Source organism: Homo sapiens, chromosome 19 (assembly GCF_000001405.40).
Source record: "Homo sapiens chromosome 19, GRCh38.p14 Primary Assembly".
Taxonomy (NCBI): Eukaryota; Metazoa; Chordata; class Mammalia; order Primates; family Hominidae; genus Homo; species Homo sapiens.
In genome coordinates, this window is record NC_000019.10 from 51,167,226 (window position 1) to 51,193,102 (window position 25,877).

General features: G+C 50.3%; 2 long non-coding RNA genes and 2 pseudogenes across 5 annotated transcripts in view, besides 2 other annotated features; 2 read left to right on the forward strand and 2 right to left on the reverse strand.

Moving 5' to 3' along the window:
- Window positions 1-14,741, reverse strand: part of LOC101928517 (uncharacterized) — a 29,044-nt gene extending 14,303 nt beyond the window's left edge. The window contains exon 1 of the long non-coding RNA NR_110732.1: window positions 14,249-14,741. This is a non-coding gene — a long non-coding RNA (uncharacterized LOC101928517). The remainder of the gene's footprint in view (window positions 1-14,248) is intronic.
- On the forward strand, window positions 103-6,299 carry SIGLEC17P (sialic acid binding Ig like lectin 17, pseudogene; annotated as a pseudogene). 3 transcript variants are annotated; one of them, NR_047529.2, is made up of 7 exons: window positions 103-216; window positions 279-658; window positions 864-1,142; window positions 1,378-1,425; window positions 4,841-4,934; window positions 5,292-5,366; window positions 5,751-6,299. The product of NR_047529.2 is annotated as a sialic acid binding Ig like lectin 17, pseudogene, transcript variant 1 (transcript). The 3 variants fall into 3 exon arrangements; NR_047530.2 differs by lacking the exon at window positions 1,378-1,425 and having other exon boundaries at window positions 5,266-5,366; NR_047531.2 differs by lacking the exon at window positions 1,378-1,425.
- Window positions 2,127-2,421: a silencer, noted in NCBI's record as "tiled region #7523; HepG2 Repressive non-DNase unmatched - State 13:Ctcf". NCBI's record gives its function as "represses a minimal TATA promoter and a strong SV40 promoter by Sharpr-MPRA in HepG2 cells {active_cell/tissue: HepG2}" and the evidence as "EXISTENCE:reporter gene assay evidence [ECO:0000049][PMID:27701403]".
- Window positions 13,992-14,963: an enhancer, noted in NCBI's record as "H3K27ac-H3K4me1 hESC enhancer chr19:51684473-51685444 (GRCh37/hg19 assembly coordinates)". NCBI's record gives its function as "activates a minimal SCP1, AML or CMV promoter by ChIP-STARR-seq in primed H9 embryonic stem cells {active_cell/tissue: H9 hESC(primed)}" and the evidence as "EXISTENCE:reporter gene assay evidence [ECO:0000049][PMID:30033119]".
- On the forward strand, window positions 17,521-17,982 carry SIGLEC20P (sialic acid binding Ig like lectin 20, pseudogene; annotated as a pseudogene).
- Window positions 19,683-25,877, reverse strand: part of LOC107985327 (uncharacterized) — an 84,260-nt gene continuing 78,065 nt past the window's right edge. Inside the window, exon 4 of the long non-coding RNA XR_007067309.1 lies at window positions 19,683-20,054. This is a non-coding gene — a long non-coding RNA (uncharacterized LOC107985327). The remainder of the gene's footprint in view (window positions 20,055-25,877) is intronic.

Genomic DNA, 25,877 nt, shown 5'->3' on the forward strand with positions numbered 1-25,877 from the left:
CAGGTCTCTGAGGTCACTTGGCTTTGCAGTCTCCCTCCACTCTGTGCAGAGGCGGATGACCTCTGACCACGTGTGGGTTTGAGGTTCCTCTTCTGTGAACTGCCAAGATCTCATGCTCCTCCCCACAGCCCTCTTCTCTGCTCACACAGGAAGCCCAGGAAGCCTCTGCCTCAGAGATGCTGCCGCTGCTGCTGCCGCTGCCCCTGCTGTGGGCAGGTGAGTGGCCCTGGGGAGAGGGGCCGTGGGGATGAGCCCATCTGACCCTCATGTCTCCACAGGGCCCTCGCTCAGGATGCAAGATTCCGGCTGGAGATGCCAGAGTCCGTGACGGTGCAGGAGGGTCTGTGCATCTTTGTGCACTGTTCGGTCTTCTACCTCGAGTATGGCTGGAAAGATTCTACCCCTGCTTATGGCCACTGGTTCCGGGAAGGGGTCAGTGTAGACCAGGAGACTCCAGTGGCCACAAACAACTCAACTCAAAAAGTGCAGAAGGAGACCCAGGGCCGATTCCACCTCCTCGGTGATCCCTCAAGGAACAACTGCTCCCTGAGCATCAGAGACGCCAGGAGGAGGGACAACGGTTCATACTTCTTTTGGGTGGCGAGAGGAAGAACAAAATTTAGTTACAAATATTCCCCGCTCTCTGTGTATGTGACAGGTAAGGCACGGGCTCCAGGAGTGGCACAAGGGGAAGGTTATGGGGGCCACTGGGAAGGGCTCAGATGGGACTCATGTCCTGGAATGGGGATGGGAATAAAGCACGTCAGGCTCAGGGGAGGAACTGGACCAGAGCCTGAGCTTCCCACAGGGCTGCACCTTGGATCCCCCTCCTGATCCTGCGTCCCCACCTCTGTCCACAACAGCCCTGACCCACAGGCCCGACATCCTCATCCCGGAGTTCCTAAAGTCTGGCCATCCCAGCAACCTGACCTGCTCTGTGCCCTGGGTCTGTGAGCAGGGAACACCCCCCATCTTCTCCTGGATGTCAGCTGCCCCCACCTCCCTGGGCCCCAGGACCCTCCACTCCTCAGTGCTCACGATCATCCCACGGCCTCAGGACCACGGCACCAACCTCATCTGTCAGGTGACGTTCCCCGGAGCTGGTGTGACCACGGAGAGAACCATCCAGCTCAGTGTCTCCTGTGAGTGATGGGGCCAGGATGCCTGGGTGCCTGAGGGTGTGAATGGGGAGAGGACCAGGAGAGAGGAGGTCCAGGACTGGGGCCACTTGGTGGCTGTGTCTTGGAGGCCTTGCTGAGTAGGGGAACTAGAAGGATCCAAGCTGTCAATTGCCATTTCTGCGGGCTTCTAGAGGAGCGCCTACCTTCATCTCACTCCCACCCCAACTAAATGAGAAATCCTCTCTTGCTGGCTTAGATCCTCTAATGAACCCAGTGATTGAAGCCTCCCTAGAAGACGGCACAGGTAGGACAGAGTCCCCATCTGGAGGCTGGAGGAGCAGGGCCTTCAGCTCAGGGAAGAGCTGGGCTCCTGCCTCATCCTGACTCACCATGGTAACCAGAGACTCCTTGTTGGCCAACTCAGGGACCCTCCCTATCCTCAGCTCCCATGGACACCTGAGCACCTGTCTGTAGGGACCAGCCCCACAGGGTCGGTAGGTTTTTCTCTCATGTTTGGAGACGAGGGAGTTGCAGAAATAAAGACACAAGACAAAGAGATAAAAGACAGCTGGGTCCGGGGGACCACTACCATCAGGACACGGAGACCGGTAGTGGCCCCGAATGCCTGGCTGCGCTGTTATTTATTGGATACAAAGCAAAAGGGGCATGGTAAAGAGTGTGAGTCATCTCCAATGACTGATAAGGTCACGTGAGTCACGTGTCCACTGGACAGGGGGCCCTTCCCTGCCTGGCAGCCGAGGCAGAGAGACAGAGAGAGAGAGACAGCTTACACCATTATTTCTGCTTATCAGAGAATTTTAGTACTTTCACTAATTTTGCTACTGCTATCTAAAAGGCAGAGTCAGGTGTACAAGATGGAACATGAAGGCGGACTAGGAGCCTGACCATTGAAGCACAGCATCACAGGGAGACGGTTAGGCCTCCAGATAACTGCAGGTGGGCCTGACATGAGTCAGGCCCTCCACAAGAGGTGGAGGAGTAGTCTTCTCTAAACTCCCCCAGGGAAACGGAGACTCCCTTTCCTGGTCTGCTAAGTAGCGGGTGTTTTTCCTTGGCACTGACGCTACCACTAGACCACGGTCTGCTTGGCAACGGGTGTCTTCCCAGATGCTGGCGTTACCGCTAGACCAAGGAGCCCTCTAGTGGCCCTTTCTGGGCATGACAGAGGGCTCACACGTCTTCTGGTCACTTCTCACTATGTCCCTTCAGCACCTATCTCTGTATAGCCTGGTTTTTCCTAGGTTATAATTGTAGAACGAGGATTATTATAATATTGGAATAAGGAGTAATTGCTACAAACTAATGATTAATGATATTCATGTATAATCATGTCTATGATCTTGATCTAGTATAACTCTTGTGGTTTTATATATTTTATTACACTGGAACAGCTTGTGCCCTCAGTCTCTTGCCTCGGCACCTGGGTGGCTTGCCACCCACACCTGTCCGCAGACTCCTCCACAGACTCCTCCAAACACACACCCCTTGGCCCCACAATAAGGACAGAGTGATATTCATACAGCAGGACTAGCCTTTGAGCCCCTTATCATCTACCTCCTAAATACTCCTCCAGCCTCAACTTTAAATTTTTCCCAGTAGTTTAATGTACTTCTGGACAGGTGATACAATCGCATGGGCAAAAATGCTAAATCCATAGCAGAGTCTGTTCTCAGATGCTTGTCCTCCTCCCCAGAATCAAAGAGTGTTCATCCTGGCTGCTCTGAGCCCTGGTGTATTCTCTGGAAGGATCTCAGAGGTCGTTTGGTATCAGCAGCACAGACTATCCTCACTCTCAGACTGTGTAGTGTTCCATTGAAGAGTTGGATCCTAATTCTGTATATATCTTCTTGAAATGGAATATCATGTTTCTACCAACAGAAACAAAGGATTGAACAGTCTTCTATCTACTTTGCCAGTGTATGTCTATGTCTGTGGAATCAGTTACTTAAAGCAAAATAGCTGGGTCTTACGTTCTTTCTGATTTTGAGAGATATGGCCAAATTGTTCTCAGTCAATGGTGGATATGTTTACATCCCCAACAGCATGGGGTGACAGTGTTTTCTTTTCTTTTTCTTTTCTTTTTTTCTTTTTTTTTTTTTGAGACTCTCACTCTGTCACCCAGGCTGGAGTGCAGTGGCGTTGTCTCAGCTCACTGCAACTTCCGCCTCATGGGTTCAAGCAATTCTCGTGCCTCAGCCTCCCGAGTAGCTGGTAGACTACAGGTGCCTGCCACCACGCCCGGCTAATTTTTTGTATTTTAGTGGAGATGGGTTTCACCATGTTGCCCAGGGTGGTCTCCAACTCCTGAGCTCAGGCAATCTGTCTACCTCAGCCTTCCAAAGTGCTTGGACTACAGGCATAAGCCACCGCACCCAGCCGAAAGTGTGTCTTCATCAACCCAATGTGGAATGAAAGCTTTCGCTTTTTGCCAGTATTAGGTGAAAATTGTTATCTCCATATAATTTTTTTATTTATATGCACTTTTTAATTGAGATAAAATTCATATAACATTAAATTCACAATTTGAATCATTTTAAATTATATGCTAAACTGGCTTTTAGTCACATATTGTACAACCATAACCATGATCTAATGCCAGGACATTTTCTTTACTTCAAAAATCCACTCTGTACCCATTAAGCACTCACTTCCCATTATCCCCTCCTCTGGCAAGCACTAATCTGCCTTCTGTCTCTACAGATTTGCCTATTTCGGACATTTCATATAAGTGGAATCACACAAAAAACAGCCTCTTGTGTCTGATTTTTTTTTCACATAACGGAATGCTGTCAAGGTTCACCCCAGTACTATGCATGAATACTTCATTCTTTTTGAAACCTAATATCCCATTGTATGGAGAGACCATGTTTTGCTCATTCATTGTTCAGTTGATAGACATTAGAGCTGTTCACACTTTTTGACTGTTACTAATAATGCTGCCAGGAACATTCATGTACAACTTTTTGTTGGAACCTATGTTTTTATTTCTCTTGAGCATAGCCCTAGGAGTGTAATTTTTAGGTCATATTGTAACTCTGTGTTTAACTTTTTGAGGAAATGCCAGACTGTTATCCAGTGTCAGCACCACTTTACATTGCACCAGCAATGTACAGAGTTGCAAATTCTCCATATTCTTTTGAACATTCTCGTTTTCCTTTTCTAAAAGAACTATGGTCTTCTAGTGCATGTGAAGTAGTAATTCATTGTGGCTTCAATAGGCATTAAGATACTGATAAATGGTATTGAACATATTTTCATAGACCAATTGATATTTGTATCTTTTTGGAGAAGTTTTCACTCAAGTTCTTTGTCTACTTTTTAATAGGTTAATTTGGGTTGTTTGTAATTTGAGTGGTTTGTAAATTACATGCCCTTTATATATGCTGGATACTACACCCTTATCAGATCTGTGCTTTACAAATGTATTTTCCCATTCTGTGGGTTGTCTATTCACTTTCTTGATAGTGCCAATCAATGCAAAATAGTTTTTAATTTTGATAAAGTCCAAATTATGTATCATTTCTTCTTCCAACTGCTGGACAGTCAGGGAACAGCTTAGAATGAGCCCTGGGCTGATGTGATACCACATCCAAGGATGCAGGAAGGATCTGAAGAACCAATGTCCAAGTTGTCTTGGGAGAGGAAGGACATGGTTTGTGGTTTAGCAGGTGAATGGGCCTCATCCCACCTTTTTGCAGGGAAATCAGGAACCGTGGAAGAGGTGGTTGTTTTGGCCGTGGGGGTAGTGGCTGTGAAGATCCTGCTTCTCTGCCTTTGCCTCATCATCCTCAGGTAAGCACTGCCTGAAGACCAAGGACAGGCATGGGGAGGGCAGAGGACATGATGCTGAATCCCAGAATCTCAATCCTGGGGGTATGCAGACAGTTTACGTGGTCCTGGGGCCAGGCTGGAGGCTGAATTGGTGGTGAGAATTACACATGGGCCATTTGTGGTCAGTTTGTGTCTGTCCCAACTGAGGGCCAAATGCCAGGATGGGGAGCTTCCTGTTGTCATCAAGGAAGTCTAGACCTGCTCTTCCTCCCTGTGATCCCTCCAGCCTCTAGCAGGGCACAGGAAGTTGAGTTGGCTGCCCTTTGCTCCCTTCATGTGGCCACACTTACAGGTCCTTGTCTCTTCACTCAATGTCAGTTTCCACAAGAAGAAGGCGGTGAGGGCAGTGGAGGTTGAGGAGAATGTATATGCTGTCATGGGTTAATCTCTCAGGTGAGTGATGTGGGCCTCTCACTCTTCAACATCCTGCTGGATAACTCCTCCACAATGGCCTCCAGGATTGCTCTGCCCATCATGGCCAAAGTTAAGCCAACTGTCTTCCTCCTCAAACCTACTTTTCCTGGGATGTGGGTTCTTCATCCTGCAGATGACAAAGAGGCCTCATCTCTAAAGTCAGAACCTGGGTGTGGGTCTCCATCTTGACCCCCCTCCCTTCTCTAGATCCCATAAATTACTAGCTCTTGTCCCTCCTTCTCCTAAGCAGGGCTCATCTTGATGCCCTTTTCTCCATCCTGACCCTGGTCATTCTTGCGGCCTCACCTCTTCCCTGATCACTGAACCCTTTTCACCTCCTGCCTCCATCTCTCCCCAACACAGGCCTCCAGACTGTACTTCCAGATGTCTCCTCATCCAGTTCCTCCACAGTCTGAATGGCCATGTTTCCTCTTCATTGCTGGAGAATGAAGTGCAAATGCCACTGCCTGGACTGAAGGCCTTTCACGATCTGTCTTCTGCTGGACTCTGCTCCTGATCCCCCTTCTCCTTGCATCACCCGAAGTCTCCCTACACCCACCAGGCCAAGCCCTCTGTGATTCTGAGACTTTGCATGTGTAGTTACTTCTCCTGAAATGGCCTTCCTCCCCATTCCTGCCAATCCAGGTCCTTATCATCCTTCAGGTTGTCTTAAATGTCATCCAGGTGTGTGTATTTTTATGTAATCCTTGTATGATATTAAGCGGAGATGTGGCATTTGTTCATTAATTTGTAGACATATTCAGTAACCATACTGAATACATATAATGACTATGTGCCAGCATTTCCGTATGTGCAAGAAGTTCATCAATAGATATAGACTCAAAGAGCTCTGTCATCAAGCTGTTGTTCTGAAGAGCAGAAGGATACAAATAAAAAGAAATAAGTAAAATATTTTTTCCCATGTTGGATAGAGATATTTGTTTAGAGAAAAATAACACAGGGAAATAAGCACAGACTATACTGGGAAACAGTTTCTATATCTGATAGTGGAAAGAGGTGACATTTAGGCAAAGACGTGAAGGTGCTGAAGAGGCGGGCTCTGAGTCTGAATAAGAGAAAAGCATCCCAGGAAAAGGATAAGGGGAAGAGCAAGTGCACTGCTCAGAGGCAGCAGCAGGCCTGGGGGTTGTGGGCTCAACCAGAGCCCCATGTCTTAGAGCAGAGGAAGGGTAAGGAGGGAGCAGCAGGAAGGAAGCTGCAGACTGCGTGGGGTGCTGCAGCGCGCACAGGAGCCTGGAGCCTTTGGGAAGGGCAGAGACACAACTGGACTCTCACTCTGACCTCAAATGCCTGAGTCAGAGCAGGCCCAAGTGGGTCATGGCAGCCACAGGAAGACGGGGAAGGCACTGCTGGGTCCTCCAGGAGGAGGGATGAGGGCTGAGCCAGCGAGGCAGGGTGGGGTGAGGACATGTTTTTGGATGTGTGTGGAAGATCAAGCTAATAAGGATCACAGGCTAACTATGTGTTCAGTGAGGGGAAGGCAATACAAAGGACGAGGCCGGAATGTTCCCCTGGGCACCTGGAAGGAAGGAGCTTTGTCCATAGAGGACTGAAGAGGGAAGGACTTTCCTAGAGAATGATTAATTCTGAGAATCCACCTGACATCAGAATGGGACTAGGAGGGAGACAGCCGGATGTAACTGTCAGGAGCTCAAGAGAGGGGTCCAGATTGGAGATGTTACAATGCACATTCAACAACTTGGTTCAGTTTCCAAAAATATTACTGCTGAGATGAAAGAATACAGACACAAATGAGTACATTTCTAGGAAATTCTCATGTGGACAAAAGTAACTCACCATGAGAGAGAGCATATCAATGGTTACCCAGCACAGGAGGTGAGAATGGTGAGCTGCAAAGAGGCTTAGAAAAAGCAGAGTCATGTGGGATATGAGAACTGAGCACAGGTGGGTAGGAAATGTAGGAAATGAAGTTGGAGAGAGATGGAGGCTACAAATATTGCAGTGTCCTGAGTCCATTATACTTATTTATGCATTTGAGCAAAAGAGTGAGATGAAATGACACTTACTTTAGTGGGGTCACTCAGGCTGCAGTGTGAGAAAGTATAGATGAGAGGAGACCAGATTAGTGGATACAGAGAATCCAGTGAAGAGATGACGCAGACATAGTCCTGGGTAAGGATGATGAATCTCATGTGGAGAAGTTGGGTTCTGGACACATCTTGAAGATGAAGCCAATAGTATTTGCGAATGGAGTGACGGAGTGCACGTAGGGTAAGAGCAAAGATAGCTCGTGGCCTCTGCTTGATAGGTGCCACAGATATCACAGGTGAGTCCACAGATATCATAGATGTCATGGATATCCATGAAGACATCCATGACCTCAATAATATCATGGAGAGTCTGATTACACCTCCATAGATGTCACAGATGCCCACAGGTGCCAAAGATGATGCCCATGTGGTTACCCAGAATGGAGACTTAAATAATTTAACTGCCAACAACTAAAATTGCCAACCCTGCAGGAGGAGAATATTCTTAAGTGTAGATCAAATATTGTTTTGGTTACTGTAATTTGGAGGTGGTCCCGAGCCACCCACGTAGGGATTGTAGGTAGAAGGCAGGAGTCTGAAGTTCAGGAAAGGGGTCCAGGTGGGAGATACACAGGTTTGGGAGCCTCCACATTAAGGTTTGATGATGGACGAATCCACAAAGAAGAGAAGGGGTCCACGGACACAGCCACAGGACCCTCCAGCATTTAGTGTCAGGGAGAAGAGGTGGAAACAGCAAGAAGACTGTATAGAGCAGCTGCTGAGGAGAAATGAGTGACCAGGAGAGTGCAAGTTCAGGTGATGGTGGCCAACGGGGGCTGGAGTTTCAAGGAGAGATTGGTCATTTGTTTCAAATGCTGGTAAGTCTGGTAAGATAGGGTTTGAGAAACGACTATTTGAATTTAGCTAAGTTGTATCACAACTGGTATTGACAAAAGCAGATCTGGTTGCCTGGTAGAGGAAGATCTCTTGACTAGAAAGAGTTCAAGAGAGAATGGAAGGAGAGAAGGCAGAAACCGTCAGTGCCAAGTACTATTTGGAGAAACACTGCACCAAATCTAGAACCAAGAAATGGGCCTGCAGCAGAATATGGTCGTGCCCTGTAGACTTGCCATTTCTGGCAGCATCTGCTCTTGTGTCTCTCATGATACTATGTTCCCTGTTTGTGTAGGGCTTTTCACCCCTTGAGTTAACTGCATTCCCATGGCTTCCCCTACCACACTGTGAGCTCCACAAGGACATGGTTAGATCTAATTAGGCCTCCATCATTCTACTGTCTCCTATTCAGCTGCACACTGTCAAAATTTACAATTACCTGTATGTTTCTGTCTTCATCCCCTCAAGTACTGGAAGTCACAACCCCCACCCCTGCTCTGGTCTGCTTTGCTCCCTCCTGAGGATCCAGTGTCCAGCACATAGGAGGTCCCAGAGATCTGGGGTTCAGCTCAGGTTCAACAGATGTATGACCTTTGTAAGTACCAAGTATCAACCAATAAGTGTTACCAGTGTTGCTTAACTGAGTAAGTGGAGCCTTAATTCAGAAACATTTGATGAAAAAAAATGGAAAAGTAAACAAACATCCTGTCAGGTTCAAATTTTCTTAATGGACTCTCTCTGCTTACTGTCCAGCCACCTCCCCACTGTCCTGCTCTGAACAACTTCTTTTCTCTCCACATGGAACATCAGAAGAGGTCCAAGTTACATGGCCCCTCTGACCTCTGAAGCTCTTCAGGGGCTGCCCCCACCATGGGGTGAGGAGCTGCATTATGCTTCCCTCAGCTTTCATGGGATGAATCCTTCCAAGGGCACCTCCACTGAATACTCACAGGTCAGGACCCAGTGAGGAACCCACAAGAGCATCAGGCTTAGCCAGAAGATCCAGATCCTCTATAGGCAGGGGGCCAAAGGCTGATTATTGGAGATTTAATACCCCACAGGCAATGGGTTTATAGACATTATGGAACTTTCCTGCTATACTAACATCATCTTAGACTTTTCAAGCAAGGAGTCCTGGAATCAAATCTGTGCTCTTTCATTTGCTAAGTGTATGATATCATGCAAGCTTCTTAACCTTCCATGTCTCCATTTTGTGCTCTGTAGAATGGGTGCAAGACGTCCTATCTCAGAGATATTGTGAGGATTAAATAAAGCTACACATGAAAAACACCACTCCTGGTGCATAGTGACAGTTTGGTGCATAACGGTTCCTTCCCCCTCGAACAGAAGGCAATAGTGACATTTGGTCCAGAGTCGTGATGGTCTCATCCCTGAAACTGTATCAGCAACATGTCTGTCTCACTCGATGCTCAAAACCCCACCAGAGATGTCTTCCCTGACTTGCCCTCCAACATCATCTCTCTCTACTCCTGAATCTTTTCTTTCCATCTCACCTGTCTGCTGTCAAATTTTCTGTCTCCTTTAGGTCCTGCTACTGGCAAAGCCAGATATTAGCACTTTGGGAATTTTCTAAAACTCAGGGCTGAACACAGTCAAAATAGTTCCCTAGCTCCTCAACCCACAAGAATTTGAAGCTTCTCAACGTGAAATTCTAAGTAAGGGATCAGCAAACCTCATTTGTAAAAGGCCAGACAGTAGATATTTTCAGCTTTGCAAGCCATAAGGTCTCTGTTGCAACTATTCAGCTCTGCCATTGTAGCACCAAAGCAGTCACAATCTGCAAACGAATTGTATGGCTGTGTTCTAGCAAAATGATATTTACTAAAACAGGCACCCCACGGGCTGTAGTGTGCTGGCCTCTACTCTAGGTTCCCCTGAATTTCACTCAGTCTACTTCTCAATGGCACAGCCTACACTCAAGCCATGCTCTGTGGACCCCATTCAGATGCATCTCTCCCTGTGGGTGTGCATCCACGTCCCTCCTCCATGAAGGACTGTCACCATGCCACCATCAGGCTAACACCTTCTTATTTTTCAAAATGACCTCAAAAGTGGATGTCTACATCAAGAAGATAGAGGGAAGCAGAAGCTCTAACCACCTTCCTAAAAAGCCTAAGTGAAATAATAAAAATCATTTTTAGAAAACCAGCAGCACCCAAACCATGACGGGGTGAACGCATTATGCCATAAGTTCATAATGACCCTTAAATAAACAGATGGAAGATTCTGGTGTTGCTTTAAAAAGCCATGATGCCAAAACCTCACTCCCTTATCCCTCAAAGGGACAGCTGAGTCACATGTCTTTCTATGATAACGGCTGGCTGGTGATAGGGATCAATCTGTCCGCTAAAACATTAAAAGTTTACAATTAGATTTCCGGTCCAGACAAGATGACATCGGCCCATTTTGTCCCTGCTCCAACCCTCTAAGCAAAACTATAAATCCTGTAGATGGTTCAAGAGACACCAAAGGAGAACTCTGAAGTGTGATAAGAAGAAGCTGAGCTGGTTTAAGACCCCATGACTGGAGGAACAACACAGAGGCCAGGGATCTTGCATCTCCCCCGACCTGAGGGAGGACACCCCAACTCATCATTTCACAGCCCCTGACCCAGCAGCAGAAGGCAGCTAGGCGAGCTCCTAAGGTTCATCCTCTCCTGAGTGGAAGGGGATCCCCCGACCAACAACATCAGGAGAGTCCCACATCACTCAAAAAGGGGATCAGTGTGAGCCAGAAACAAGTGGCCATGAAGCGCTATCATTCTCCATCAGGCCTGAGGCTCTCGTTTCCAGCCCAGAGATACTGAGACCAGTGGGCAGAACTGGAAAAAGAGATCCAGTCATAATGTCTAATATTCCTGACCCTCGGTTTGCTCCTTTATCAACTGTAAAGTCTAGTCTCTCACTTTCAGAAGTGTGTGTGTGTGTGTGTGACAGAGAGAAAGAGAGAGAGAGAGAGAGAGAGAGAGAGAGAGAGAGAGAGAGAGAGAGACTGGTATAAAGCAAGGTATTTAAAGAGCAGTACAGAGATCAGTAAACAGGAGCTTACCAAGCCTCCTCCTTCCCTGTGGCTCAGCCAGGTGGCATGGACAGACACTGTCCACAGGAGGGACACTACTTGTGAGTTAACTGGAGCAGTAGGAAAAGGGGCCAGAGAGAAGAACCCAGCACCACCCAGTCCTGATTGTCTGCCACACCCCTGACTCCATCCATCCCTCTCAAGCAGGCCTGGATGCTTCTCACCCCTCTACCCTTCTGGGCTAGGACTAGGACGCTAGCCTCTGGGTTCAAGACCTTCTGCAGAGTTGGGAAGCATCTGAGCTCAAATTGTCACACACAGTGACAGCTCCCCTGCCTGGGTCTTCCCAGGGGCCAGAATGTCTCCTAGTGGGTGGACCATCATCCCTGGGAGTTGTGAGGCAGAACCTTGATCAGACTCCAGTGCAAAGGTGGCAGGAGCCCAGGGAAGGGTCTGGTGACTTCCTAGGTTAATGAAGCTGGTCAGGGGTAACTGAGACCCTCCAGGGTGTGCTTTCATCCTCAGACTTGGGCTCCTTACTCGATATGGGTATTAACCAGGGATTGGTGTAGTTCCGGGAAAAGGATAGAATACATGGGTATCCCCAGTAATTAGATGGGAATAATAAAGCTGATCTTGGGTATCATTGGTAGGAAAGTGTTAATCACTCAAGATTCTTAGGATATTTTACAGCTATTACAAGACCTTGGGAAACAAAGTTTCCTTGTGATGTTGCAGCTGTCCTCCCACTAGGCCTGAATAAGTGCAAGGCTGCTACTTCTCTTTCTCCATCTGAGCAGATTTTCACTTTTTCACTCTGTGAAAAGATTTTCCTCTGTGTTTTCTGGCATTTGCGTCTGGAGCCTTCTGTTCTCTCTGTGTGTGTGATCTCAGACACTCCAAGGCTCTCACCCCTGATTTCTCCCTAGACACTTCCTGCAGTTTCTGTCTAACTCAGGCTGTCCTGATCCCCAGAGTCATGAAGTGGCAGGAAGTCTGGGCCCTGTTGATAGGGCCCTGAGACCTACAGAGAAGAACTTCATGCCCTTCTAACATTCCCCTATGTGTGCCTTTCTGAGGGCTCAGGGGTGCCCATGCAGGGGCCTGGCTTCCTCCACACCTGTGGCCTTTCCAAGATCTATTACACCAGGTGATCACACCCTCCCCAAGGTAATCCCTTATCTAACCTTATGTAAGTCCCCCAAACCCTACAACAGGGCTCGCCAGCTGGTCCTCCCCAGAGCTAGCCTTTTTTTTTTTTTTTTTTTTTGAGATGGAGTCTCTGTCTGTCGCCAGGCTGCAGTGCAGTGGTGTGATCTCAGCTCACTGCAACCTCAGCCTCCAGAGTAGCTGGAACTACAGGTGCATGCCACCATACCTGGCTAATTTTTCTATTTTTGGTAGAGACGGGGTTTCACCATGTTGGCCAGGATGGTCTCAATCTCTTGACCTTGTGATCCACCCACTTCGGCCTCCCAAAGTGCTGGGATTACAGGCATGAGCCACCGCGCCCAGCCCAGAGCCAGCCTTTTCAGGCATCTGACATCACTACTGTTTTTTTCCTGGCAGGGTTGGAGACCTCCAGAGAAGGAAGGTGAGAAAAATTTGAGTTCCTTTCTCCCTCAGGACAGAGGAAGATCCTGGACATGGGAGCCCGAAGGGAAGGTCCAGACATGGAGACTCCATGATTATTAGCTCCCAAACCTCTCTCTTCTCTCCTAACCCACCTTCACACATCAGAGAAGCTCTTTGCTGATTTGGCCCTGCCATACACAGAAAAACCAAAGAACTTCTCTTCACTCTGATATCTGGCTTCCAAAACTATTCCCTATAGTTGTGAGTAAGCAAAGCAGGGAGAAGGAAGACATATGTATTTTTATAATGCTTTATTTACCAAAATTAAAGAAGTACTTTATGCAAGATTGTGCTACTTGTGTGTTTACCTTTCTGTAGATTTGGTAAGCCTGCCAATCAACACATATTTATCACCTACTGCGCGCAAAGCAAGTCCACAGTGCTTTTGAAAGTTGTACGTCTTTGCCTTCAGGGACTCACTTTCCATAGTGGGACCTCAGTATGCAGTGAGGAAACTTATCCTCTCACCTGCTCCCTGCCCACCTCCAATCTGTTCTCCACAGGGAAGACAGAGTAAATTCTAAAAATCCACTTTTCTGCTCCCTTCAGTGGCTTCCCATCACCCAAATGGGAATAGCAGAAATTCTTAAGATGAGTCCAAGGTGTTACATGCAGTATCATATATATGTATACATATATGTATACATATATATGTACATAGTATATGTGTGTGTATACATATATATGTACATAGTATATGTGTGTGTATACATATATATGTACATAGTATATGTGTGTGTATACATATATATGTACATAGTATATGTGTGTGTATACATATATATGTACATAGTATATGTGTGTGTATACATATATATGTACATAGTATATGTGTGTGTATACATATATATGTACATAGTATATGTGTGTGTATACATATATATGTACATAGTATATGTGTGTGTATACATATATATGTACATAGTATACGAGGAGATGGAGTTGGAGGTTCAGTGAAGATGTGCAAACCTGGATTTCCTCGGACCCTGGAGCAGAGAGGATGAGGAACGTGTTTGAGGCCAAAGGGGTCAACGGGTGGGTGGGGGTGTGGGTGGGGGTGGGGGGCTGCAGTCAATCACTGACTGGCTTATGGATGATTGACATAAAGGCTGGGTTGCCAGGGAGCCCAGTGACTCACAGCGTGAACCCGATTACCTGGTCTACACAGGCGGTAACCGTGTGACTAGCGACTGAGTGCCTTACAGGGGACGACCTCCTAAGAGGCTGACTGGCAGGAGCCCAGCTAACTGCTGGCCAGGGCAGGCCGTGGGGGCGCGTTACCTGATTGTCTGAGGAACTGGCTGGCGCGGGGACTGACGCTGACTCGCGGGGCGCTGCCCTGGTCACGGCCTCAGCTCCTCACCGGCCGCCTCACTGGGGCGACGGCCGCTGGCTGCCCTCGGGCTGAGCAGGTGACTGGCGTGGTGGAGGCGGAGGAATGCGCGGCGGGCTCCTGGTGATCTCCTGAGGGTCCGCGGTCTTGCCTCGTGACTGATCCAGAATGGGCCTTGGACCCCACAAGGGGCTCGGGGGCCTCGCGGGCCTGAGGGTGACACTGGCGGCCTCACGGGCCTGGGCTGCCCCACGCTCCAAGGGGTCAGCTGACTGAGGGACGCCCTGCTCTCCTGGAAGCCCACTTTGCGCAGTCCCGATACAGGTCCCGCAGCCGAGGACTGCCGGGGACGCCCACAGGCCAGGCACTGCTGTGAGGCCAGGAATCCTCCATCAGCGCGCGGAGAAAGCGGTGTGAAGGCTCCGCTGTCGCCCTGGGCCCAGCCCGCGCGCCTCGCACGTTGTGCGTCTACCCCACAGCCAATCAGTGGCTGCACAGGCCTCTTTAGTAGCCAATCAGCAGCTTCAGGTGCCTATTACGCAGCAGATCTGCGAGGCAGATGGAGCTTTCCCCCACGGACACTTGCCTCTGGGAGCTGACGCACAGCCAATCAGGAGCTGAAAGTGCAAGTCCCTCCCCGCACCTTCAGGCCCAGAGGAATCCTACGGGCTTGAGCCAATCAGCAGCCGCGGGCGGTGCCAGGAACGTTTGGGCGCCAAATTTCTTCTCAGCGAGTCCTTTCCTGACCGCGTTCTTGAAACCACGCTCCTCTCCAGCCAGCCCTGAGGACTCCGTTCCTCTTGATTAAATCTGCTTTATTTTCTCACACTTTACCCACTGCACACTTTCGAAACACTTCTTGCTACTCAACAATATTTTTGTGGCCGCCCCGCTAGGATACAGGCGCACTGCGGGCAGAATTTTGGCCGTTTTTTTCTCGCCGCTGTTTCCCCCACGGCCTTTGGCTGCGCCCTGCTCGCTGCTCTGGGATGAACTTGCCTTTCAGGCAGCCCTGCCCATCTCTCACCTCCCAGCTCACCTGTCCCACCTGCCCGCGGATCCTCACCCTCTCCGCTGGGCTCCCACAGCCCCGTCCTCCCCGCTGGCTCAGCCCGGACCCCGCCAGGCTGTGCCCGCCTCTGTCTCCCCTGCCCGTGGCCGGTGCCCCTCCAGGCTCCGCCTCGCCCAGCCCAGACGCCCAGGCGGCTCCGCCCCATAGATGGGAGGCAACTGCCCAGGGTGCAGGGGCAGCGAGGGGCTGCGGCTGAGAGCCCTGCCCGGTCCTGGGGAGGGAGGGAGAGTGTGGGTGGAGGGGGCAGCCCTGCAGATGTCAGAGACAGGGCGGCAGCAGCACAGGTTTCCTCTGGTGAGGAGCCCTTCCCTTCCCTTTTCTCCTTCCATCCTCTGAGCATCCCATGTTACAGGCTGTCCCAGACCCCTGTGGGGCTCTGCATCCACCGCGGTCCACACCGGGCTGTGCTCACAGGAACACATCGAATCCTCTCGACCACTCCATGGACTCTCTTGCCAGGGCCGCCTTGAGAAAGGAACACAGACCGAGTGGCTTCAACAACGCCTTTGTTTTCCCACCCTTCTGGAGGCTGGAAGTCTGAGACCAAGCTGTGGTCAGCGTTGCTTCCTTCTGAGGCCTCTCGGTGGCTTGCGGGTGGCATCTTCTCCCTGTGTCCCACGTGGCCTTTCTTCTGAGCATGTCTCTGTCCTAATCACTAATCGCTCCTTTTTTTTTTTTTTTTTTTTTTTTTTTTTTTTTTTTTTTGAGACAGTGCCTTGCTCTGTCGCCCAGGCTGGAGCACAGTGGCGCGATCTCAGCTCTGTAGCCTCTGTCTGTTCAAGCGATTCTCCTGCCTCAGCCTCCCGCGTAGCTGGGATCACAGGCATGCGCCACCATGTCCGGCTAATTTTGGTATTTTTAGTAGAGACGGGGTTTCCCCATGTTGGCCAGGCTGGTCTCGAACTCCTGACTTCAGGTGATCCGCCCGCCTCGGCCTCCCAAAGTGCTGGGATTACAGGTGTGAGACACCGCACCCTGCCTGAGATGATCTCTTGGGGTCACTTTTATCTATATGTCTTCTGTTTCCCCCAAAAAAATGTTTCAAGAAAACTTACATGGGTCTAAGGAGGCTCCACCTCCCAGGGTCCCCCACCACTCCCTCTCAGCCTGCAGCCACACAGTTAAAAATAGTCTTCTGTTTAATTCAGGTGCACGTTTCTTCTCCAAAATAATCCTGCCCAGCACTGAGGGTGTACGCCCCAGGCCTGGGGTCCTCGCTCCATGGCTCCTGTTCACCTGGACTCCTGGGAGCAGCACTTGCAGGAGCAAAGCCCTGGGTCCAGCAGACGCCGCCTGCTGTGGACTAACCAGGGGAAGTGTGGCTGAATGAGATGCCAGCGGTGAAGAAACCCCTCCTGATGTCCAGGTAACCACAACGAAGGGAGAAGTGTCTGCCCTTTTCAAATTGACGCCTTCTGTCCTGACCCTCCTTTCCAAGCCTCACTGAACAACAGCCTCAGTTTCCCCGGCCTCCTGCAGGCTGGGCTCCCCTCAGTGTCCTTGGCACGTATCAACACACAAAATCTTCCACAGCCCCGCATCCCTCTGCTCAGTCCTCCTGAGACTGAACCCTCAACCTAGGGGAGAGCGACCCCACCTGCCTGAGCCCTGCACTGAAGCTCCTGTCATGGGAAGCTCAGATGTCAGGAGCCTCATTGTCTCCCCACTGCACAGTGACTCCTTGGGGACAGCGTCCAGCTCTGCCTTGTTGATCTCGTCGTGCAGAAAGGGGGTGCCCACCTTGCAGCTGCTGAGGGAGGGAGGAGAGGCTGCCTGCTCACACCGCTTGCACCCCTGTCTCTCATGGCCCTGAGTCTCACCTTTGGCAGGTCTGACCTCCACAAACAGTGATAGCCACAGAGGAGACTCGGGGGTCTGGCCAGATGGACCCAGTTTCACCCTGCAGAGGCAAGGGTGAGACAGAGAGGCAGGATGTGGAGATCAGTCTCGGCATGGGGAGGGAATCTGGGTGAGTCTCTCACCCTGTCTGAGTTCAGGGACCCAGGAGTGGATGTGGGATTGTAGATGATTGATCTCCAAGGGCGGACCCTGACAGTGTCTGGGTTGTGAAGTTCCTCCTCTGAGGAGGTCACTGTTCCGACCTCGCCCCTGTCTTCCTGTGGGGCCTCCTCTAAGTCTTGAGCCCTCAGTTCCTGAGAGAAGAACCCTGAGGAACAGACGTTCCCTGGCAGCCCTGGCACCTACAACCCCAGACATGCTGCTGCTGCTGCCCCTGCTCTGGGGGAGGGAGGGGGTGGAGGGACAGGGACAGCAAGAGAATGGTTACACACTGCAAGTGCAGAGGGAGGTGAGGGTGCAGGAGGGCCTGTGTGTCCACGTGCCCTCCTCCTTCTCCCACCCCCAGGTTGCCTTGACTAACTCTCCCCAAGTTCATGGCTACTGGTTCCAGGAAGGGGCTGACACAGCCCAGGATGCTCCAATGGCTACGAACAACCCAAAACGAAAAGTGAAGAAGGAGACCCAGGGCCGATTCCGTCTCTCTGGAAACCTGCAGATGAACGACTGCTCCCTGAGCATCGGAGACGCCAGGAGGAAGGACCAGGGGTCATTTTCTTTCGCATGGAGAGAGGAAGCATGAGATGGAATTACGCGTCTAACCAGCTCCACGTGTTGGTGACGGGTAAGGCGCAGGCTCCAGAAGCAGCACAAGAAAAGGTCCTGGGGCTGCAGCTCAGGGGTGGGTTGGGACCCCTGTCCTGGGAGGGGGTTGGGGGTGAAGCGTGTCGGGCTCATGGGAGGCACTGGACCAGAGCCTGAGCTTCCCCAGGGCTGCACCTCAGACCTCCCCTCCCGATCCTGCACCCAACCCTCTCCTCACCAGCCCTGACCCACAGGCCCAATATCTCCTCCCTGGGGACCATGGAGTCCGGCCGCCCGGGAAACCTGACCTGCTCTGTGTCCTGGGCCTGTGAGCAGGGGATACCCCTACCATCTCCTGGATGGGGACCTCCGTGTCCTTCCCGGGCCGCACCACAGCCCGCTCCTCAGTGCTCACCCTCATCCCAAAGCCCCAGGACCATGGCACCAACCTCACCTGTCAGGTGACCCTGCCTGAGGCTGGTGTGACCTTGACCAGGACTGTCCAATTCAATGCGTCCTGTGAGTGCTGGGCCGGGATGCCTGGGTCCCTGGTGGGGTGGGGTGTTGCTGAGAGCAGCAGGATTGGGGTCAAGGGTGCTGGCTCCCAGAATCTGGGCTTGGAGTGGCTGGCTCTACTTTCCCCATTTACGCGGCTCCTGGGGAGACAGGGCCAGTGTCCCCAGCCCTCACAGTGATGTGGGTCTGCGTGTCTTTCTGTCCCAGACCCTCCTCAGAACTTGACTGTGGCTATCTTCCAAGCAGACGGCACAGGTAGGACAGAGCCCCCTCCCTGGGGCTGGGGGAGCAAGGTCTGCAGCTCAGGGCAGGGCCAGGTCCTCCGCATCCTGGACTCACCCTGGTGACCTGAGACCCCCTTGTGGGTGAATCCAGTGCCCCTGCCCATCCTCAGCCCCTGTGGCCACCTGAGCCCCTGTTCCCATCCCGCCCTCACTCCCCTTAGAATCCTCCACACGCACCCTCCTTGGCCCCACAGCAAGGGCAGGGGGACATTGATACAGCAGGGCCAGCCTCGAGGGTCCTGATCATCAACCTCCTGAACACACCTCTTTCTCTACAGCATCCACAGCCTTGGGGAACAGCTCATCCCTCTCAGTCCTGGAGGGCCAGTCTCTGCGCCTGGTCTGTGCTGTCGACAGCAATCCCCCTGCCAGGCTGAGCTGGACCCAAGGGAGCCTGACCCTGAGCCCCTCACAGTCCTCGAACCATGGGCTGCTGAAGCTGCCTCGAGTGCACGCGAGGGATGAAGGGGAATTCACCTGCCGAGCTCAGAACCCTCGGGGCTCCCAGCACATTTCCCTGAGCCTCTCCCTGCAGAATGAGGGCACAGGTGGGTAGGGGAGGGGCTGGAGGAGGAGAACACACCTGCGCCACCCTCATGGGCCACCCACTGCCCGTGAGCTTCAAGGGGGAGCTCAGCTCTGGTGTGTGCTCAGCTGTGAGGCCTAGAACTTCCCCACAACCCAGAGCATCACTGTCCTCTCCCCGCCAGGAAATGGGCGCGGGGTGGGGAGAGGGGAGGAGTGGGTCTTGGAGGGGAGGAGCTGGGGCCCGGCCAGGTGTATCTGGGGAGACAAGTGCCTTGCTTTGCAGTGCTTAGACTAGGAAGAGGCACGTGAAGCACTTGCCTTGGTACCAAATTTAAGAACCAAAACTAAAGCAAGAGAAATAATACTGTGACACGATAATCATTTTTAAAAAATAAAAATTAATGCAAAATAATTCCATGGCGAATACAAATCAAAATTTTAAATTAAAAAAAAAACTGCACCCAGCACTGTCATGCCTCACTGGCCTCACCAGAAGTCCGTAATCCTCCTCCTTCTGATGCCCGCTCTTTGTGTCTGGGAAAGCTGGGAGGAGAATCAAAGTCGAGGGCCTTACAGGCAGCAGAAGGTGAGGAGACCCAGTTATTGAAGGTAAATCCCAGAGATAACTCCAATCCATCTGCAGGCACCACATGGCCTGTATCAGGAGTGATGCTGGGGGTGGTCGGGGGAGCTGGAGCCACAGCCCTGGTCTTCCTGTCCTTCTGCGTCATCTTCATCGTGTGAGCATTGACCCTGGGGAGGGAGGGAGACCCCTGAGGGAGGGCAGGCCAGGAACAGAATCCCTGAAGCCAGAGCTGGAGGGACCTGCATGGTCAAGAGCTTAAAGCAAGGGCAAGAAGGAGGTCACAGGTGCACGGTGGGAATTTCACAAGCATCTTTGTTCGTGAGGCTCCAAGTCTATGGCAAACCTCAGGCCCCACTAGCCAGAAGGCAGGAACCTGTGTTCTCAACACCGGGGTCCCTGGGACTGGTTCACCCCTCTCTCACCTCAGTCATCCCTCCAGCCCTTTAATAGGAAACATGGTGGGGCGGGGGGTCGGTCCACCCACTACACCTTGATCGGTACAGACTGAAAGACTCTGGTCTCTTCACTCAGAGTGAGGTCCTGCAGGAAGAAATCAGCAAGGCCAGCAGCGGGCATCAGGGATATGGGCATGGAGGATGCAAACGCTGTCAGGGGCTCAGCCTATCAGGTGAGCGATGTGGGCATCTCCATACCCAGCATTCAGCCTGGACACCTCCCACAGGATGGCCCCCAGGATTGCTCAGCTAGTCCTGGCCAAAGTTGCCTCCTCACCTCCTCCTCCTACCTACAAGCTGGCTTCTCCTGCAGGATTCCCCCATCTTGCTGACAGCATGGCAGCCCCTCCTCCCAGACCAAGCATGGAGGAGGATTACATCCTCTCTGTCCTCCCTGTCTTCCTCTACAGCTGAAAATTCACCGTTATCTTGTCAATTTGCCCCACAAAGAACAGCTAGCATCACCCCCGCCCAACCTGACCCTCTCATTGCTGAGGCCTCAGGATCTTTTCCTTGGGCCTTGTCACCTCCCTACTTCTCACCTCCCCTTCCCTATCTGGAGGGACCATCTGGAAGGCATCACTGCCCAGTTCTTCTGCATTTGGACAGCTGTCCTCCACCCCCATTGTCTAGATCAGAGGCCAGCAAACATTTTCTGAAATACCAGATGGTAAGTATTTTTAGCTTTGTGGACTATACAGTTGCTGTTGCAGCTACTCAACTCTGCTGCTGTAGAATGAAATGAGCCGTAGACCATGTGTTAATGGTGAGTTGGACTGTGTTCCAATAAAACTTTATTAACAAAAACAAGCAATGGGCCAGATTTAATCCAAGGGCTGTAGTTTGCCAACCCCTGACAAAGCCCAAACTCCTCAGCCTGGAGCCCTGCACGTTCTGGCCTGTTAGGCACCTACCTCTCCAGGAGGGCCAGAGTTAGGGTAAGAAGAGTGAGGCACTTGCTTTGAATGCAACATTTAAGGGGATGCCAAAAATCTCAGTAATTGAGAAAAACTAAGTTTCATGCATTGTTTTTTAAAACATCAAAATTAAATTTAAAAAAACCAATGATAAGCCAATATCAAGATTTTAAATAATGACAGGTTCAATAAACTGAAGTGGCCGGGCGTGGTGGCTCATGCCTGTAATCCCAGCACTTTGGGAGGCCGAAGTGGGCGGATCACCTGAGGTTAGGAGTTCCAGACCAACCTGGAAAAAATGGTGAAACCCCACCTCTACTAAAAAATACAAAAATTAGCCGGACGTAGTGGCGGGTGTCTGTAACCCCAGCTACTCGGGAGGTTGAGGCAGGAGAATTGCTTGAACCTGGGAGGCGGAGGTTGCAGTGAGCCGAGATCACACCACTGCACTCCAGCCTGAGCAACAAGAATGAAACTCCATCTCAAAAAATAAAAATAAAATAAAAAAATAAACTGAAGTGAATTAAGAATTATTTAAGATCATCACTTAGTCAAGAGAAATTATCAAGTAGGGCAGTGTTCTCAGTTGAAAATGAGAGAATCAAAGTCGAATTTGAAAATATTATTTCTGCCTTGCTTCCAGTAGAGCCAGGAAAGCAGATTATAATAAATTCTGCTCTAGGTATACGTAAAATCTTTAAACTTAAAATGATGTTTTATTATACACCATTTTTCAATTTGTCAGTAGTAGCTCAATTATTTAATGTTCCGGATAAAAGTGACCATTAAACATACATGAAAACATATAGGCCAGGCACGGTGGCTCATGCCTGTAATCCCAGCACTTTGGGAGGCCGAGACGGGTGGATCACGAGGTCAGAAGATCAAGACCATCCTTGCTAACACTGTGAAACCCCGTCTCTACTAAAAATACAAAAAATTAGCCAGGCGTGGTGGCGGGCGTCTGTAGTCCCAGCTACTCGGGAAGCTGAGGCAGGAGAATGGCGTGAACCCGGGAGGCAGAGCTTGCAGTGAGCCAAGATAGTGCCACTGCACTCCAGCCTGGGCGAAACAGCGAGACTCTGTCTCAAAAAAAAAAAAGAAAAAAAAGAAAAAAAAGAAAAAATATATATATATATGTATATATATATATAAATAAAGAGGGACAGACATTTTTCTCGTGCCTCAGGCTGCAATTGGCTCAGCAAAGCACATTAAAAATCCTGGATTTCTTTAAATGTTTGTTCTCCATGGAGTTTTTTGGCACTAATTTTGATTTTAAAATATTACATGAGGCTGGGCGCAGTGGCTCACACCTGTAATCTCAGCACTTTGGGAGGCCAAAGTGGGCAGATCACTGGAGGCCAGGAGTTGGAGACGAGCCTGGTTAACATGGCAAAACCCCATCTCTACTAAAAATGTAAAAATTAGCCAGGCGTGGTGGCACACACCCGTAATCCCAGCTACTCAAGAGGCTGAGGCACGAGAATCGCTTGAACCCGGGAGGCGGAGGCTGCAGTGAGCCGAGATCACGCCACGGCACTCCAGCCTGGGTGACAGAGCAAGATTCTATCTCAAAAAAATAAAAATAAAAATAAAAGGGCTATAGTCTGTAAGTGGCCATCTAGGCAGGCAGGGAAGTGTAACCTCTGGTAAAAGTTGAAAGTCAGGTATTTTGAGGGAGGAGGGCTTGGAGCAGGAGTTCTATGTTGGATGGGTTGGCTAAATATACATATTTAACACATTATAGGCAGAGTTTTGGGTATTTATGAAAGGGTGTCATGCATACGTGTGATGGATAAATACCTAAGTTATATGCAACTCATGTTTATTTTGGGGTGGAGACTTAATATTTAAATGTATTATAATTAAGCCATCTCTGTCAAGAGATGAAGCAGGGACTCAGAGGTATTTGAGTGTGTAGTCTCCTACACACTTGGAGGAGCTAATGAGATTAGTAAACACCAAATGAGGTGCTCAGTAAGTGTTAAATATTGGAGGAAAGCATGAAAGAGACCGACAAAAATGCAGGTGGGATGAATGGAGGACGGATCTCCTGGGCCTCCTTCCTAGACTCTCCCCGCCTCAACCTGGCCCCACTGCTCTGTTCTGACTCCCTTCTCGCTCTCTCTGTTCAGGGACCCCTGACTGAATCCTGGACAGACGGCAGCCCCCCGAAGCATCCTCCCCCCAGCCATGGCTGCCTCCTCCTTAGGAGAAGGAGAGCTCCAGCATGCAACCCTCAGCTTCCATAAGGTCAGGCCTCAGAACGCGCAGGGACAGGAGGCCATGGACAGTGAATACTTGGAGATCAAGATCCACAAGCGAGAAACTGCAGAGACTCGGGCCTGATTGGGGGATCACGGTCCCTCCAGGCAAAGGAGAAGTCAGAAGCTGATTCTTCTAAAATTAACAGCCCTCTAGAGCCCTATGCTGTGCGGTAGGTCACCAGGGCTCCCTCCTCCTGCGGAATCGAAACTTGGACCAACATCTCCCCTTTCCCAGGCCACCTCGGCCCCGTCCCTGCCCCCAGCTTCTGCTACCCACCACTCTCCTCTCTATGTTTCTGAGGTTGACTATTTGAGATTCCACATGTAGGTGAGGTCATACAACATTTGCCTCTCTGTGCCCGGCTCATTTCAAACAACATAACGTCCCCTAGGTTCATCCGTGTTGTCTCAAATCACAGAATCATGCACTGAGTATTTTCAAAGAGCTAAGAGAGGATTTTAAATGTTTTCACACAAAAGATCGATATTTGTGCGGATGGGTGTGCTGATCATGCTGACTTGATGGTTCCATGGTGTATCCGGGTGTGGAAACCTCACTAGGGCCGTCTCAAGGCTACTCGGCTACTCGAGGCAGGGATGGAATTTAAAGCCCGCCTGATTCTGAGGTCTCTTCTCTCATCCGGTGCTGAGTCAAGCAACCAGCAGGCCGGGCACCTCTTAGCCATAAGTTTGCAGGAAACAATATTCCTCGAGGGCTTTGTTTTTTCCTGAAGAGGGGGCAGCAGTAGCCCAGGGTCTCCCGGACGTGACAGGTGCATTGAGTGGGTGAAGGCTGGGGACCTCTGCGCCAAAGGGATGTCATGTCTTTATTTGTTTTCCTCAAAATTTTTAACATGTGTTTTTTAAAATTGCAGGTTGTTTATTTGCTTGTTTTTCCTTGAAATTTGAAACTAGCATTAGCTTTTCAGTTGAGGCAAATTTACCTACCATGAAAGACGCAGATCTCACATGTGCGGTTCCATGAGCTCCGCCAAATGGGCACCCCTGAGTCACCGGCTCCCCAAAGACAGAGAAACTTTCCATCACTCCAGAAAGATCCTGGGGCCCTGCCCAGTCAGTCCTCAGCCCTGAGAGCCACCGCTTCCTGGTTTCTGCGACCATAAGTTACTTTCCATGTCCTTGAACTTCATGTGATTGGCATCACCCAGTATGTATTCCTGTGTCTTTTTTTACTCAGCGTTGCGTGTTCTGAGATTCATCCACGTCGTGTGTGTCAGCATCTGTTCCTCTTTATTGCTGAGTAGGACACCACTGAATGGGTACATCACAGTTTGTTTACCCATTTTTTTTTCTGTTCATGGATATTTAGTCTGTTTTGGTTTTGGTGATTATGAATATAGCTGCTGTGAACATATTTGCGCAAGACTGTATCGAGGTATTTTCATTTCTCTCCAGTGTTTGGGGCAGGGGATGGGAACAGTGGGGTTGGATTCCCATGCTTGGCGTGCGAGGGCATTTGGGATGTCCTGTGGAGATGGCATTCAGCAGCTCAGGAAGGAGGGAGGGGCTGGAGATGGACACGGGAAACATCAGGGGGTTCCATCATCCTGATCATGGGCGCCGGTTGTTTTGGGTTGAATCTTGTCCCCCAAAGAGATATGTTCAAGTCCTAACCCCCAGTATCTATGTCTGTGGCTTTATTTGGAAATAGTCTTTGCAGATGTAGCCAAGTTAATAGGAGGTCATACTGGATGAGGTGGGCCCTAAGTGCCATGACTGGTGTCCCAATGCAATGAGGGAAATTGAACACAAGACACACATAGGGAGGAAGGCCACATGACAGCGGAAGCAGAGCTTGGGGTTTTGCTGCCACAGTCCCCAGAAGCTGGAAGACGCCAGGAAGAATCCTCCCAGTGCCTTCCGAGGGAGATGGCCCCGCTGACACTGTGATTTTGGACATTTGGCCTTCATAATGTCGAAGAATAAATTTCTGTGGCTTTAAGTCACCAAGGTTGTGGGAATTTGATAGGGAAGCCCTAAGAAGCCAACACACCTGACACCAACACACCTGCTGGCACCTGCTGTGCTGCAACCTGGACCCATCCTATCTCCGCAGGCCTCAAAGTGACTCTCAAGAGGGCCGGCTCTACCCAGGCCACAGAGAAGCCCGGGGGAGCTGCTCAGCACCATGCAGGCCAGCAAGCGGAAGGTCTTCCGCCACCAGCATTGAGCTGCCCGAGGTATTAATATCAGGCCACCGAGACGCTGCTCTTCTCTCATGCAGGTGCTATGTTTACAGTGCTAATTTTGCTGGAACAACAACAAAAAAATCAGTTCCAAGGCCCTCACACACTCAAGATTTTTGAAACAAAATTAAAACAGGAGAG